The 16,063-nt window shown below is 54.9% G+C and overlaps 2 protein-coding genes across 20 annotated transcripts, besides 1 other annotated feature; both read right to left on the bottom strand.

The window, feature by feature from the left end:
* On the bottom strand, positions 679-8,957 carry ENTREP3 (endosomal transmembrane epsin interactor 3). 5 transcript variants are annotated; one of them, NM_006589.3, is made up of 12 exons: positions 8,127-8,957; positions 7,874-7,930; positions 7,558-7,668; positions 7,333-7,452; positions 7,099-7,206; positions 5,207-5,379; positions 4,976-5,075; positions 4,569-4,638; positions 3,750-4,295; positions 1,879-1,947; positions 1,524-1,777; positions 679-1,429 (listed from the first exon to the last, which is right to left on the bottom strand). In NM_006589.3, exons 1-12 carry the CDS (start codon positions 8,349-8,351, stop codon positions 1,256-1,258), a joined length of 2,007 nt encoding a protein of 668 aa, NP_006580.2. In that variant the 5' UTR covers positions 8,352-8,957; the 3' UTR covers positions 679-1,255. The 5 variants fall into 5 exon arrangements, with proteins under 5 accessions (NP_006580.2, XP_005244902.1, NP_001254537.1 ...); XM_005244845.3 differs by having other exon boundaries at positions 5,207-5,382; NM_001267608.2 differs by lacking the exon at positions 7,874-7,930 and having other exon boundaries at positions 5,207-5,382.
* Positions 3,389-3,991: an enhancer, noted in NCBI's record as "H3K27ac-H3K4me1 hESC enhancer chr1:155219706-155220308 (GRCh37/hg19 assembly coordinates)". NCBI's record gives its function as "activates a minimal SCP1, AML or CMV promoter by ChIP-STARR-seq in naive and primed H9 embryonic stem cells {active_cell/tissue: H9 hESC(naive and primed)}" and the evidence as "EXISTENCE:reporter gene assay evidence [ECO:0000049][PMID:30033119]".
* Positions 8,958-9,454: 497 nt separating the features above from the next.
* SCAMP3 (secretory carrier membrane protein 3) lies at positions 9,455-15,834 on the bottom strand. 15 transcript variants are annotated; one of them, NM_001438473.1, is made up of 9 exons: positions 15,560-15,834; positions 15,131-15,208; positions 14,011-14,133; positions 13,804-13,924; positions 12,300-12,366; positions 10,972-11,131; positions 10,759-10,860; positions 10,148-10,265; positions 9,455-9,893 (listed from the first exon to the last, which is right to left on the bottom strand). In NM_001438473.1, exons 4-9 carry the CDS (start codon positions 13,825-13,827, stop codon positions 9,747-9,749), a joined length of 618 nt encoding a protein of 205 aa, NP_001425402.1. In that variant the 5' UTR covers positions 13,828-13,924; positions 14,011-14,133; positions 15,131-15,208; positions 15,560-15,834; the 3' UTR covers positions 9,455-9,746. The 15 variants fall into 15 exon arrangements, with proteins under 15 accessions (NP_001425402.1, NP_001425393.1, NP_001425401.1 ...); NM_001438464.1 differs by having other exon boundaries at positions 12,300-12,386; NM_001438472.1 differs by having other exon boundaries at positions 10,759-10,808; positions 12,300-12,428.
* Between the last annotated feature and the right edge of the window lie 229 nt (positions 15,835-16,063).

A 16,063-nucleotide genomic window follows, 5' to 3' on the forward strand; every position in this document is an offset into this window, starting at 1 on the left:
GGACAAAGTAGAAGAGCCAATATTTCCCTTTTCAAAGGGACAAATTCAAGAAGATGCTGATTATGGGTATTAATTGCTGCCTCGAGGTCAAGTGAGATGCAGGCAGAGAAATGGTCACTGGGTCTGACACCACTGTGGTCACTGGAAAGTTTGGTCAGAGCAGTGGCTGTGGAAAGATAGGGGAAGGAGTCTGATGGGGGTGGGTGAGGAGAGAATGGATGTTTAACAGTGGAGGGAAGAAAAAGAAAACCTATTGCTGTGAAAAGGAGGAGCAGAGTTACAATTAGTGGTTGGAAAGAGTGTCTTGAAAGTTTCTTTTTTCTTTTTTTTTTTTTTTTGAGACATGGTCTTGCTCTGTTGCCCAGGCTGTAGTGCAGTGGCTCAATCACAGCTTACTGCAGCCTGGACTTCCCAAGCTCAAGTGATCCTCTCACCTTAGCCACCTGAGTAGTTGGGACTACAGGCGTGTCCCACCATGCCTGGCTAATTTTTTGTTTTTTGTAGAGACAGGGTCTCACTATGTTGCCCAGGCTGGTCTTGAATTCCTAGGCTCAGGCGATCCTCTTGCTTCGGCCTCCCAAAGTGCTAGGATTATAGGTGTGAGCCACCATACCCAGTCCTGAAAGAGTTTTCTTAAATATGAGAGACACTAGAACAAATTTCACTGGTGACAGAGAATGATCAAGAAAACAAGGGGAAAACTGAAATTTATTGAAGGCTTACATACTGTTAAGAGCTTTACAAACATTCTACCTTCACAGTCTTTAATGGAGCAGGCAATTGGGGTTACATAGCTTGCCCAAGGTCATGCAGCTAGAGGTGGCAGAGCTGAGAGGCCACCTAGATTTTTTGGACTCTTCGTGCCTGCCTTACCACCCCATTGCATAGGCACACGTCACCCTGTACTTAAACACCTGGGCCATGCCTTTGCCCTGACCATAGTGCCCTTGCAAATCAGAAAGAGCCACTCTCATTCTGAGGGGGACAAGAATTTGTTTTCCTCCTCCAGTGCTATAAGAAGGGGCATCTCCCCCACAGTCTAAATACCCATGCAGCACAGGACAGAAGCTCTCCCAGTCCAGAGCAGCAGAGGCAAGCAGCAAGAGACCCCAGAGGTAGGAGGGAAAGGGACACTTTGGGGGGTATACAGCAGGTTTCTTTTTGTGCCAGCCAGTGCAAGAGGATGCTGGGGGCTGCTGGTCCCAACCAGCTGGTGCCTGTGGCTGGATGTGTTCAGTGTGACAAGAAGCCTAGGTCAGAGCCCAGTCTCCCGGCTGCCCCCGTTGAGGCTGAGGCTGTGGGGGCGGGTACCACGCTCCAGCCTGCGGCCAGACAGGAGACGCCGCAGGGAAGAGCTAGAGCTCAGATCTCCGCAGCTGCGAAGGTGGAGGCTCTCTCGGCCAGGCCGGCCCCACAGGCTCCGGGGCACCTGGACAGGGACACAAGAAAGGGCATCATCAATAAGGCTCAATCTGAAGCTCCACGCTTTCCCAAACATCTTTCCTGGCTCCCCGAATTCCTACCTGCTTATGTCCATGAGCTCCAGTCCCACTGGGGTCTGGGGCTTTCCTGGATATCTGGAGGAAACGAGTGACCAGGCCCCGACCTGGCCAGCTGCCCTTTAGGTCCCCCAGGGAGTGGGCAGGTGCAGGGCCCGAGGGCAGGGGAACTTTTTGGAAGGTGGGCACAGGGCGCCGTTTCTCGGCTGACCGGGCACGTAGCAACTTGGGGGAAGGGCAGCGGGCTAGGCGGAAGAGGCAGGCTTCAGAGCAGAGCCCTGCAGAGAGACAGAGATAAGAGAATGGTATTGTAGGGTGGAGAGGGGGCTGGGCAGCCATGCCCAATCCCCATCCCTGGGGCGCAAACCACATGCCTGACCTGTATCTGCAGAGGAAACAGAAGCAGCTTCTTCCTCAAGCACTTTGGTATAAAGGTCCCTGAAGTCAGCTGGGGAGAAGAGAGAAAGGGAGACAGGGAGTGAGTGGAAGTGTTCTGTGGACACGCCCACCCTCCTGTGGGAACTCAAGCCCAGAGGAGCTTTCACAGCTCCCACGCTCCATCCCCAATCAAAGGGCCAGCATCTCTGTCCATATTAGCCAGCAACTAGATGGTACAATCCACCACAACAAGGACTGCAGTGGTGTTGTTCAGCACCTGGCGCACAGTGCTGAGCGTTCCCCAGTACTATCTCCTTTCTTATTTTTTTGAGATGGAGTCTCACTGTGTTGCCCAGGCCGGAGTGCAGTGGTACGATCTCAGCTCACTGCAACCTCCGCCTCCCAGGTTCAAGCGATTCTCCTGCCTCAGCCTCCCTAGTAGCTGGGATTACAGGCGTCCACCACCAGGCCCAGCTAATTTTTCAATTTTTAGTAGAGATGGGGGTTTCACCATGTTGGCTAGGCTGGTCTTGAACTCCTGACCTCAGGTGATCCACCTGCCTTGGCCTCCCAAAGTGCTGGGATTATAGGTGTGAACAGCCTTGCCCGGCCACTGTCTCCTTTCTCAGCATCTTCGAGTACAATGCCTATGGCTGAAGTACTGTTATTATACATGTTTTTTGTTTGTTTGTTTGTGTTTTTGAGATGGAGTGTGTCTCTGTCACCCAGGCTGGAGTGCAGTGGCATGATCTTGGCTCACGGCAACCCCTGCTTTCCAGGTTCAAGCGATTCTCCTGCCTTAGCCTCTCTGTTAGTAGCTGGAATTACAGGCGCGCTCCACCACACCTGGCTAATTTTTGTATTTTTAGTAGAGATAGGGTTTCACCATGTTAGCCAGGCTGGTCTCGAACTCCCGACCTCAGGTGATCCACCCACCTCAGCTTCCCACAGTGCTGGGATTACAGGTGCAAGCCACCGTGCCCGGCCTGAAGTACTATTATTATACATGTTTAACAAGTGACAGCTGAAGCTTGGGGAGGACAGATAAGTGGACCAAGCTGAGAGCTGTGGAACTGGTTTCAAAAAATAAATCCTTTTGGGAGGCCGAGGCGGGTGGATCACTTGAGGTCAGGAGTTCAAGACCAGCCTGGCCAAAAGGGTGAAACCCTGTCTCTACTAAAAAATACAAAAATTGCCCGGGCACGGTGACTCATGCCTGTAATCCCAGCACTTTGGGAGGCCGAGGCGGGCAGATCACGAGGTCAGGAGATTGAGACCATCCTGGATAACACGGTGAAACCCCATCTCTACTAAAAATACAAAAAAATAGCCGGGCGTGGTGGCAGGCATCTGTAGTCCCAGCTACTCACTACTCGGGAGGCTGAGGAAGGAGAATGGCGTGAACCCGGGAGGCGGAGCTTGCAGTGAGCCCAGATCGCGCGGCTGCACTCCAGCCTGGGTGACAGAGCGAGACACCGTCTCAAAAAAAAAAAAAAAAAAAAATATTAGCCGGTCATGGTGGCGCACACCTGTAGTCCCAGCTACTCGGCAGGCTGAAGCAGGAGAGAGTCACTTGAACCCGGGAAACGGGTTGCAGTGAGCCAAGATCATGCCACTGCACTCCAGCCTGGGCGACAGAGCCAGAGACTCCGTCTCAAAAAAAAAAAAAAATTCTCCTTTTTTAGCTGCTAAGCTATGGATGTTCTGTCCCTAGGAGGTGAGTACCTGAGAAGTGTCTACCAGAGGAGTGAACTCACCCTTTCTTCCTCCTCAGGGACCTCAACTGTGCCCCAATCCTGGTGGGCATCACTGGCCACCTAACTCCCAGTGCCTACCCTCTCCTGAGCCTGGGCAGTCGGGGAGGGGGCTCACCAGTGTCACTGGAGGTCGTGATGCCTGGGTCGCTGTGGGACCGTGGCAGCAGCAGCGGTGGTGGGGATGCCGGATGAGGAGGCCGGTGCCCCGGTGGGGTGAGGGAACCTGAGCTATCGCTGAAGCGACGAGTCGGGGCTCGGGTGGGCGGGGCTGCGGCTGGGCGGCCCCCTCCCCGGGGGACCCGCCGCCTCAGCTCGGGGAAGCAGGGTCCCACCCAGGGCGGCCAGCCCTCCAACCGGTGGCAGCTGCGGGCAGCTGTGGGGGCACCCAGTGGGGGTGGAGCTTCAGGGGCAGAGCAGGAATAGGAGCGGGCAGCCCGTGGGGGGCGCCGTGGCAGGGGGCTTTCCTCGAAGGGGCCCCGCAGGCCACAGTCCAGGCTGAGGCAGTAGCCGGCACGGCTGCGCTGGATGGAGCGAAAGAGAACGTAGTCCACGGAGCGCACGGAGCCCTGCAGCTCCAGCAGGCACGAGTCCTCCGACGGGCTAGAGCCCCCAGGGAGGTCACCAATGGCTGACAGCACCAGAGACCCGCTGTCCATGGACACTGTGGGCGGCAGGGGGCGCTGTGTAGCACCAGCCTGGCCTGGCCTAGCCCTGCCCAGGCAGTTCCTCTTCTCCCAAGCCCAGCCTCTAGGGGCCACTGTGCCTCCAGCTTTATCTCAGAGGAGAAAAATAAGTCCAGGGTTCCAAGTTGCCACAGCCCTCCTATGTCCCCAAACCACCAACTCCGCCTTGTTTTCCCCTTCTATTGTCTCTACCCACCCCAGCTATCCCTGGCAGCCCCGCCCTTGTCCACCCCTCATTACGCCCTGCTCACCGTCTACAATGGAGGCCACTCGTTCACAGATGCACGAGCCATCGTGAAGCTGAGGGTCAAAGAGAGTGGCCTGCAGAAGACACAGGGTCAAGGGTTCAGCCCTACACACTGAACACCCCCATGTGCTAGACAGAGCTCTGGAGACTTAGATTCCAGACCAGCCTTGTCCCTTTGTACAAGTCACTTAATTGTGCAGCCTCAGCTTCCACGTCTGTATGGCAGAAATGATAGCTTCCAACCCACTCACCTCACCAGGCTCTAGGGAAGATCAAAGGCAACAGTGGGCATGCTGGTGCTGTAAAGACCTTGACCACTGTTACTATCTTTATCCAGAGGCTACAGCCTGTTCAGCTTTCCAGGCTACAACCCGGCTCCCCAGCCCGCCCCAAGCCGTGCTGTGCTCTCACCTGGCTGTCTCCTCGTAGTCCCATGACTGCCTCATAAGAAGGGGGGCAATCGGTAGGGTACAAGGGCACTGGGCTGTCCATGGAGCCATTGTACGTGATGCTGGCAGATGAGGAAGAGGGTCAATGTAGGAGAAATAATTCCCCCTCCACAAAGATCCCTCTCTCCAGCAATCCAGGCCCAGCCCCAGTCCCCTTCCTTAGCTCCCCCAGCAAGACCCCACCAGGCCTTACCTCTGTGCATCTGTTTCTGAGCTGCAGGTATACTCTGGGGGATAGTAGGGCGGTGGGGGCACAGGCGGGACAAATTCCTCCAGGTCCAGCATGGTGTGTAGGAGAGGGGCTGGGGGCGGGGACGTGCAGCCCAGAGGTCCCAGTGGGCCTGAGACTGACCGCTCAGGGGCCAGCTGCTGGGGAAGCGAGCAGGTCAGCAAGTCTGGATTCTGGGAATACAGCTCCTCCTGGGCCCCCAAACTCCTCTCTCATCTACATTATTTTTTCTGGCCCTATCCCCTGAGAGAAGCTCTTGTTCTGGCCCCTCCCTCACCCAAAATCAGCTCTCCTTAACCCCACGCTCACCCTGTACCTCTAGCTCTGGCCCTGCCCACCCACAAATTCCTCTTTATGGCCCCACCTCCATCCAGAAGCTCCACACATTCTGTGTCTTCACAGGAATGTCCACCCTTTAGCCTCACCTCCATCTAGGACCTTCTTTTTTTTTTTGAGACAGAGTCTGACTCTGTTGCTGGAGTGCAGTGGCGCGATCTCAGCTCACTGCAACCCCCACCTCCCAAGATCAAGCAATTCCCATGCCTCATCCTCCTGAGTAGCTGGAATTATAAGGGTGTGCAACCATGCCCAGCTAATTATTATTATTATTATTATTTCGAGACGAAGTTTCACTCTTGTCGCCCAGGCTGGAGTACAATGGCTACATCTCAGCTCACTGCAACCTCTGCCTCCCAGGTTCAAGCGATTCTCCAGCCTCAGTCTTCCGAGTAGCTGGGATTACAGGCACCCGCCACCACACCCGGATAATTTTTGTATTTTTAGTAGAGATAGGGTTTCGCCATGTTGGCCAGGCTGGTGTCAAACTCCTGATATCTGGTGATCCTCCTGCCTTGGCCTCCCAAAGTGCTGGGATTACAGGCATGAGCCACGGAGCCCAGCCTAATTTTTGTAATTTTGTGTGTATATATATATATATATATATATATATATATATTTTTTTTTTTTTTTTTTTTTTTTTTGAGACGGAGTCTTGCTCTTGTCGCCCAGGCTGGAATGCAGTGGCACCATCTCAGCTCACTGCAGCCTCTGTCTCCCCGGTTCAAGCAATTTTCCTGCCTCAGACTCCCAAGTAGCTGGGATTACAGGCACCCGCCACCACACTTGGCTAATTTTTGTATTTCGTTTGTTTGTTTTTTGAGATGGAGTCTTGCTCTGTCGCCCAGGCTGGAGTGCAGTGGCACTATCTCAGCTCACTGCAAGCTCTGCCTCCCAGGTTCATGCCATTCTCCTGCCTCAGCCTCCCGAGTAGCTGGGACCACAGGCGCCCGCCACCACGCCTGGCTAATTTTTTGTATGTTTAGTAGAGATGGGGTTTCACCATGTTAGCCAGGATAGTCTCGATCTCCTGATCTCAGGTGATCTGCCCTCCTCAGCCTCCCAAAGTGCTGGGATTATAGGCACGAGCCACTGCGCCCGGCCCGATTTTTGTATTTTTAATAGAGACAGGGTTTCGCCATGTTGGCCAGGTGGGTCTTGAACTCCTGGCCTCAGGTGATCCGCCTGCCTGGGCCTCTCAAAGTGCTGGGATTACAGGAATGAGCCACCGTGCCCAGCATAGGACCTTCTTGACTCTACCCCACCATCCAGTCCCATTCTCTAAAGCACCCTCTCCTGGTCCCAGACCAGCATCACATACTTAACTCACTCCCTGCCATCTCCCCTTCTCATCCTCCCCACTAAACATCCATTCCTCCAATAGATGAGGATAATAGATAACCCATAGCCCCTGGTGCTCAAAAGCCAGATCTGTAGCCATTGTTCCCTCAGGCAAGTCTCAGCACACACACCCCTGCCCCCACCATACCTGCGTGCCCTGGCCCCTGCTCCCTTCTCACCGTATGCACGAGGTCCAGGGAGAAGATTTGGATGCAGCAGACAATAGCAGAGAGTGTACAGATTATAGCGGCACAAATGGTGAGCCCACAGACGCTGAAGAGCAGGTTCTGGGGAAGGGAAAGGAGGAGAGGAGTCAGGAGACGGCTAAGTTCCACACATTATGGGCCTGTGAGTACCCCAGCAGGGGAGGCAAGAGTGAGAACCAGGAGGATGTTTGCAGGGTGCAAGCTCACCTTGAGGGCCCCTCGGGCTTCATCACAGGTGGAGTTAGGGGCAACTTTCAGTTCCTGCCCCGACTCTGGACAGGGCCGGAGGAGGGGAACAGAGGGACAGCACACACAGACCTTTCCTTCCTGAGTGGAGCAGGGAGGGTGAGGCAGCCTGAGTCAGGACAAACTGAGGTGTCCTGCACACCTCCCCCAGCCAGTTCTTTCCAGCTCTCCCTCCTCAAATCTCACCAGAGAGCACTGTTGGAAGTCTCGGGCCAGTTGAGCATTCTTACAGGAGAGAACAGAGCCAGCCATGCTAAGCATGACACAGAGCACCGAAAGCAAGGAGAAGAAGGAGATCTGGGGAAAACAGGGTGCAGACTCAGGGCTGGGACCCTCATGAGTACTCCTCTGCCACGGACAGAGTCCCCCTCCTTCACAGACACTTCGTGCCCACCCGGCTGGCACCAACTGGGGAGCCAGTTCCCTTCTTGAGGACATAAATGGGCTTCCCCTTGCGTGCTGGGCACCTGCCTCCCAGTGGGCACTGGACCCTGGCACCTACCACTAGAGTGAATGGCCGCTTCCAGGACACAATGCCAACCACCCCGGAGAACGCCAGCTGGGGACAGAGTGGGCACAGGCTCAGCCTGGCAGGGGAGGCTCCTGAGTGAGCCCCTCACCACAGGATGCACCCAGCCCTGTAAGGAGGCAGAGGACCAGGAGAGGGAGGAGAGGCAAGCATGTGGACTTGCAGCTGGTGTGGAGGGTGGGGCCCGAGGAGCCTCCCCCACCCAACAACTGTGCACCCAACTCACCGAGAACCCAGCCCAAGACGGGCAGGACCTCTTGATGCTCTCGGTGGTGGTGACGGAAGAGGCCACCATGCTGAAGGTGACCACCAGGATGCCCAGGAGCACTTGGACCAGCCCCAGCGTAAGCAGGGCCTGCAGCCAGGGTCGGTGGAGGCGGAGGTGGGTAAGGCCCCTGGTGCTGGGCCGGCTGGTCAGCGAGCGGCTGGAGTCACTAGGCGAGGGCATCATGCCTGCTGCCCGGTTGCCTGCGCCTCGCTCGGCCCTCCCTGGCACTTGGGAGCATCTCAGAGGCGCCCAAGGCCCCGTCCTTTCTCCTCTCCACCCCACTCGCTCTAGAGCCCACCCCCTGGCTGGGTCCCCTGGGGCATGGCCGAGGGACGCCAGCTGTGGGGGGGGCCAAGCGAGGGGCGTCACGGAGGGACCGCGGAGTGCTCCCTCCCCACCACGGGCACTGGACGGGCACCGTGCCCGGGGCGACGATGAGGACGCGGGGGCACCGGCTCATCGCATCTCCCTAGGGAAGAGGGGCACCGAGAAGGGCCGGTCCAGGAGTGAGGAGGGGGCGGCGGCCTGGAGCCCAGGGAGGGGTGGGGAGGGTAAAAGCGGGAAGGATGGAAATAAGTCTAGAGAAGAGGGGAGGGGTCGGCGTGGGGTGACTCTAGAGGCGCGGTCGGTGTGCCCTCAGGGCGTCCAGTAGGATCCGGGGCCGCCTGGTGGGGAGAGGCCGCGGCGCCGCTGTCTCCTGTGTCGCCTGTCCCGCTCCCCTCCCCACCACGCTCCGCTCCCCGAGCTCCGGCTGCCGCAGGTCGGGGACTAGAGAAGGGGGATGGGAATGGGGATGGTGCGGGAAGGAGGGGCATGGCGGCGAGGGCCGGCGCGGTGCACCCCGGGAGTTGTAGTTCGGGACTGAGACCCTGTCGGGGTTGGGGGATCCCGCGGCAGGGCGAGGCAGTCGGATAAGCGCTCCTCCAGTCCCTGCCTCGCTCTGGACCCTGGCTAGGCTGCTAGTGATCCTTTGGGCCTCCACTTGAGCCCCATCCAGCTTTTCAGGCTCCAGGCCCGCGTATTCCTTGGCGTTCCCGGCAGAGGCGGTGGCTCTTCCCCGTCATTAATGGAGAGGGGTGGGGAGCAGGGCTCCCTGGCGTCTCCGGGTTTCGCGTTTCCGTGGACTTCCCACCTCCTTCCTGCGCCAGCCACTCGGGCTCCACCGCCCCGCCCCTCATATCTCCCAGTTTACACTAAAGCCGGGTCCGACCTTCCCACCTCACTCCACACTCTCCTTTCTCTTTCATAAGGCCTAATTCCCAATGAAGATTCAGGAAACGGGGATGTCAGTTCCAGTTCCACTTTCTTTTTATTTAAATAACCGAAGCAACAGCCGTGGCACAGCAGAGGGAAGCTGGGTTGGGGCGTGTGAGAGGTGGCAGCAGTGTGGCCTGATGGGGGGACTAGGTCACAGTGAACTCCCCACACGCCTGTCAGGTTCAGCAGTCATGGCCATAGGATTGGGAGCACTACGGAGGAGCCATCAGTTAGTGATGTCTCTCCAAGTCCCAGAGACCTTAGGGACGGGAGCTAAGTCAGCTCCCTCAAGTAGCAGGGCCAGGGCATCCCAGTCAGGGGTCACGGGGCCCGGAAGGCATTTTCAGCAGCCCCAGCGGCTGCATTGGCAGCTGCGGTTCGCACCGCAGGGTTGGAGAAGACACCAGCAGCAAATTCTTGCTGGGCCTTCTGAAAGCTGGCACCTGTGCGGCGGTATAAGGAGTGGATCTGCAAGTAGAGGACAAAGACATTACCGCCCATTCCAGCCACTGGTTCCCCACCCCAGCCTAACAGCATCACTACCACTCAGCAGCCTGCTGCCCAGCACACACACTCACACACAGAAACACACACCCCAGAGGTCCATTAGCTGAGAACAACCCAGCAGCCTGACCTGTGCCAGTTGCTCCTGAATGTTCCACCCACGCCCCTGGGGACCCATGATCTCACCATCCCGGCCCCACCTTCGACACAGCCCTCACCCGTTTCAGCATGACAATTCCTAGCACAGCAATGCCAGTGAAGAGCAGGGCGACCAGCAGCATGAGCACGGATACTGCTGTGTTGCCCTTCGGCACCACCAGAGCAGAGATCCAGCCACTGTAAAGGGAAGGATGTACCAGTGAAGAGGGGCTCCTCAGCTTCTCCACTGGTTATGTCACCAGCATCCCCTGTTCCTACCCTTCCCATCAGCAGTGGCTCCCTGTCAATCGAGCAGCATTCCAAGCACCACAATCCCAAACTGTATCTAATCTCTTCATAGTTTAATTCCAGTTTCTGAACCATTAGCCCTGAGCTCTCCAAGCTCTTCCAGGCACTCATCTGGGGATTCTTCTTCCTCCTTTCAACCATGGTTCTATGCCTCCTCCAGGAAGCCACCTTAGATTGGCCAAATGCAGCATTCTTCCCTTCAATCTATATGTGTCAAGAGTGCTGTCTGCGCTCTATCCTGGAAGTATGTCTTGTATCTCATTAAACTAGTACCTCCCAAGGATTAAAACCACATTTCCTTTTTCTGAACAACTCCTATCCCAGCACCCAGTGCTGGCTGGATCTAGAGGGAAAGGTGAGGGTGGATAACAGCCTCACAAACCTGAATCCCCAACCTGGGATACCAATGGCCTGGAGGACAAAGAGCACATCCTGGACGAAGAAAATGAAGAAGAAAACGAAGAAATTGAATGAACTGTCACTCCTACAAAGAGGAAAAAAATGGGGAGGGTGGGAGAAGAATTAGAGCTGAAGGATGGGCAGACGTGGGGCCCATCCCAGGTCTCCATCACTCTCCCACCACTAACACACTTACCGGAAAGCCTTATACATGGGGCGGTACCAGCAGACAAAGGAGCAGGGAGTGAAAAGGAGGACCCAGAGGATAGAAAGCCCAAAGCCTGCGCCATTGTTGGTTTCCACACAGAAGCTGGCCAGGCAGGCGAGGAAGTTCAGGAGAAGAGCCAGCGTGCTGCCTAAGGGGCAGAGGGACAGGATGAGGAGCCCTTCTGGACTGCAATGAAGGCTCCTTCCCATCTATGCTCATCCTATAATATTCACCAAACATGGCAGAGTAAGGAAATGAAGGCAGCTGCTGCCTTCATGGAATCCTCAACAGGGGAGATGGAGAAAGCAAATGTCAATAATGTGTGATCCCCTTGCAAAGACATTTTTTTTTTTGAGACGGAGTCTGGCTCTGTCGCGCAGGCTGGAGTGCAGTGGCGCAATCTCAGCTTACTGCAAGCTCCGCCTCCCCGGTTCACGCCATTCTCCTGCCTCAGCCTCCAGAGTAGCTGGGACTACAGGCGCCCGCCACCACGCCCAGCTAATTTTTTTTTTTCTTTTTTTTTTTTTGAGATGGAATCTCGCTCTGTCGCCCAGGCTGGAGTGCAGTGGCAGGATCTCGGCTCACTGCAAGCTCTGCCTCCTGGGTTCACGCCCATTCTCCTACCTCAGCCTCCTAAGTAGCTGGGACTACAGGCACCCGCCACCACGCCCGGCTAATTTTTTGTATTTGTAGTAGAGACGGGGTTTCACCGTGTTAGCCAGGATGGTCTTGATCTCCTAACCTCATGTTCTGCCCACCTGGGCCTCCCAAAGTGCTGGGATTACAGGTGTGAGCCACCGTGCCCGGCCTTTTTTTTTTTTTTTTTTTTTTTTTTTTTTTTTTTGAGATGGAGTTTTGCTCTTGTTGCCCAGGCTGGAGTGCAATGGCATGATCTTGGCTCATTGCAACCTCCACTTCCCGGGTTCAAGTGATTCTCCTGCTTCAGCCTCCTGAGTAGCTAGGATTACAGGCATGTGCCACCACGCCCAGGTAATTTTGTATTTTTAGTAGAGATGGGGTTTCTCCATGTTGATCAGGCTAGTCTCAAACTTCTGACCTCAGGTTATCCACCCACCTCAGCTTCCCAAAGTGCTGGGATTACAGGCGTATACCACTGCACCCAGCCCAAAGACATCTAAAGAATTCAAAATATATTCCTGCATATGGACAATAAAAAGTGGGGAGAGGGCAAGAACATTTGCTAGCAGGCTGGTGAGTTCTAAATAGAGGTGAAGTGTTTGGTTCTTGGTGAGCGGACCCCAGGGCAGTTAAGAGATCTACCTGTAACTTCCTCCAAAAGGCTTCTCACTACTCACACATCCAGAGGTAGTACATGGTGGATACAGTCTTCTGAAATTCTTGGGGGATCTCCATGGAGATGTCCTGGAAAAAGCAGGGCTGAACTGGACAAAAAGAAGGTAGAGGGGGCCAATTGTTCTGTCGAGCTGTAAGGCACAAAAAAACAGGTGGACCCCAGAAGTAAAACAGAGACCAACAAAGGAATCACTCCCCCTTCTCTCCATCCCTGGATCCTCTCTTTTTTTTTTTTTTTTTTTTTTGAGATAGGGTCTCTGTTGTTCAGGCTGGAAGGTAGTGGTATGATCATGGTTCACTGTAGCCTCAACCTCCTGGGCTCAAGCAACCCTCCCACCTCAGCTTTTTTTTTTTTTTTTTTTTCTCCTGAGATAGAGTTTCGCTCTTGTTGCCCAGGTTGGAGTGCAGTGGTGTGATCTTGGCTCAGTGCAATCTCCGCCTCCCGGGTTCAAGTAATTCTCCTGCCTCAGTCTCCTGAGTAGCTGGGATTATGGGCACATGCCACCACGCCCAGCTAATTTTTGTATTTTTAGTAGAGACAGGGTTTCACCATGTTGGCTGGTCCTGAACTCCTGACCTCAGGTGATCCACCCGCCTTGGCCTCCCAGAGTGCTGGGATTACAGGCATGAGCCCCGGCGCCTGGCCGTCCACCTCAGCTTCTTGAGGAGCTAGGACTACAGACAGGTACCATCATGCCCTGCTAATTTTTTTCATTAATGTTTTGGAGGCAGGATCTCACTATGTTGTCCAGGTTGGTCTCTAACTCCTGAGCTCAAGCAACCTGCCTGCCTCGGCCTCCCAAAGTGTTGGAATTACAGGCGTGAGGCACCATACCCAGCCCTGGATCCTCTCTTTTATCTCCAATTTGGGGTCCAAGGAGACAAGTGAGAGTGGAAAAATTAATACTGTTTATTATTATTTAAAACATCTAAGCACTGTACCAAGTACTTCACATATATTTTGTTTAACCTTCACAACAACCCTGTCAAACGGATGCAAACGTGGTTTTCATTTTATAAATAGGGAAACTGAGGCATTCAAGATTAAGTAACTTCCCTAAAAGCTCATGGTTAGTAAGCAGTATCTCTAAAATTCAAACTCAGCAGTCTGACTCCAGAGCCCAGGTTTGTGTTTTTTTTTTTTTTTGAGATGGAGTCTCACTCTGTCACCAGGCTGGAGTGCAGTGGCGCTATCTCGGCTCACTGCAACCTCCACCTCCCGGGTTCAAGCGATTCTCCTGCCTCAGCCTCCCGAGTAGCTGGGACTACAGGTGCGCGCCACCATGCCCAGCTAATTTTTGTGTGTGTGTATTTTTAGTAGATACAGGGTTTCACCATGTTGGCTAGGATGGTCTCGATCTCTTGACCTCGTGATCCGCCCACCTCAGCCTCCCAAAGTGCTGGGATTATAGGTGTGAGCCACCGCACCCAGCCGAGCCCAGGCCCTTAAGACCTGTTTTTGCTCCTCCCAAACTCTCAGATGCTCTTCCCCACTCTATTACTTACTAGCTGTGCCCCCCAGGGCAGCATGCTGCAGCTCTCGCTCCCTTCGGTCCAACTCCTCTGCCTTCCGGTTGAGCTCCTCCTGTTTCTTCAGCAGCTCAGCTGTGGCTGCTGCAGCTGAGGCCTGCCCAGTGTGAGCAGACGGAGATGTGAGCCCTGGGCCCCAGGACTGGCCCTTCTCCCCAGCCCTCACCTGCACACCTCCTGTACCTGAGTGCTGTATGAGCCATAGTTCTTAGGTTCTGTGGGGCTGAGCTTTCTCGAGGGCTGCAAGGAGGGAGCTGAGGGTGGAGGCAATGGGGCAGGGGCTGGAGGCTCATAGGCTGGTGGTGGCTGTTGAGGAAAAGACCTTAGTGATCATCTAGTCCCTCATAACACAGGAATCTAGAGTCTGCTTGAATACCTTTAGACCCAGAACTCATGATGTAAGGAAGCAGCCTTTCCCCCATTTGTTAGGAAGCTAGTTCTTCTGTTGAATTTCTGTCAGAGAACTCTATGATGACCTGTAGCAGCCTTATCATCCCTCATATCCAATTCCTTAGTGAGGACTCAAATCACTCATTTACCATATCTCCCCACTTAACTGTGTTTTTTTTTTTTCTTTTCTTCTGGGGATGGAGTGTGGGGTTGTCTCTCTGCCACCCAGGCTGGAGTGCAGTGGTGCAATCATCACTCATCGAAGCCTCAAACTCCTGGGCCCAAGCAGTCTTTCCATCCCAGCCTCCCAAGTAGCAAGGACTACAGGCATGTGCCACTACACCTAGCCAATTTTTAAAACGTTTCAAGAGATGGGGGTCTCGCTGTTGCCCAGGATGGTCTCCATCAAATTCCTGGGCTCAAGCAATCCTCCCACCTCAGCCTCCCAAGTGGGATTACAGGCATGCACACCATGCTTGGCTTTTTTTTTTAAGTTTTAAGTACCATGAAAACCCCTTAAATTCTTACAACTCACCATCTTCTAATCCAGTGGGACAAACAGGTGTAGTCCTCCTCATTCCTTGCTTTCAAACTGCACACCTAACCTAAACTCCAACCAGCCCCAACCTTTATTTTCTTCAAGAAAGCCTTCCCATACAGAACATTGGTTAAGGCCTTGCCAGCCTCCAGATCTTCCCAGGACTGACTTTTAGAGCTCAAACCATTTGGGTTGGTGGCCCTGGTGGCCCTAGAAGGATGAGGCATCCCATGGCTGACTAGCCTCTCTCAGGGAACTAAGATCACAGTGCCTCTTCCTTCCTGTGCATGCAGAAAAGTCCCCTGTACCCAAGCTAACTTGTCTCACTGGCAAACCCTTCCCTTCCTTGAACTCCTATGCTCTCCAGTAGCTCACCTCCCGGGTCTCAAAAGGGTTGTAGACGTCAAGCGTGGCATACTGCCGGCTGGGTCGGTGCTGGATCACAGCTGGGTCCTGAGGGCAGAGACCCGGGTCTCAGCTGGCACCCAGTGCCACCTAGGGGAATTCCCAGGGACCATTCCCAAACTGCCTGTGGCTCCAAGTACTGCACCTTCGGGGCCACGCCGTTGTCCCAGGACTGGGACAACATTTACCTCAAATCCATCATCCAACACTGCCAGCACCAGCCCATTAAGGGGCAGGGCCCGCCCCCCAGAGTGCTCACTGGTCTGGAGTCACTGTCACCCCACGTGGCGGCTCTTCCCAGGATCAAATGTCACAAATGGGGATACAAGTTAGCCCGACCCTACAGAACCGGGAAGAATCAACCTGACCGCCCAAAAGAGGCCGACTGGCGCAAGTCACCTGAAAGGGGTTGTCAAGCTCGCTGGGCTCGGCGAACGGGTTTCCGCCGTCTCTGCTCTGAGCCATGTTTGCAACTGCGGCCTCCGCGGCCCTCTGCCCTCCACGCCCCTGCCGCAGCAGTGGCGGTAGCGGTAGCCCTCAGAGTCCACTTCACTCGCCTCAGTTCGCCCCGCTTCTCTGTGCACGGATTGGTTCCACCGACCGGAAGGGCCACAAGGATCCCCGCAGCAGCCGTGGGTTGCGCCTGCGTCTTGTCCAAAAGCTAAGACGAAAGTGCCCCCACGTGATACCTCTAACCCAGTGCCCACAACCAACTACCGCCCCTCTTCCATGTGACTTCCTTCCACTAACGAACTACACTTCCCAGCAGGCCTCGCGTAGGAATCCGGCCTTCCTAGTCTCCCGAGATGGACGACGGGAGCCTTCTGACCGGTCGTGGCAATCCCCCCTAGGAGCCAGGTTGAGCACGTTTTCAACCTGAGTTTCTGGCTCTATACTGGGCCG

Source organism: Homo sapiens, chromosome 1 (genome assembly GCF_000001405.40).
Source record: "Homo sapiens chromosome 1, GRCh38.p14 Primary Assembly".
In the NCBI taxonomy this organism is placed as follows: domain Eukaryota; kingdom Metazoa; phylum Chordata; class Mammalia; order Primates; family Hominidae; genus Homo; species Homo sapiens.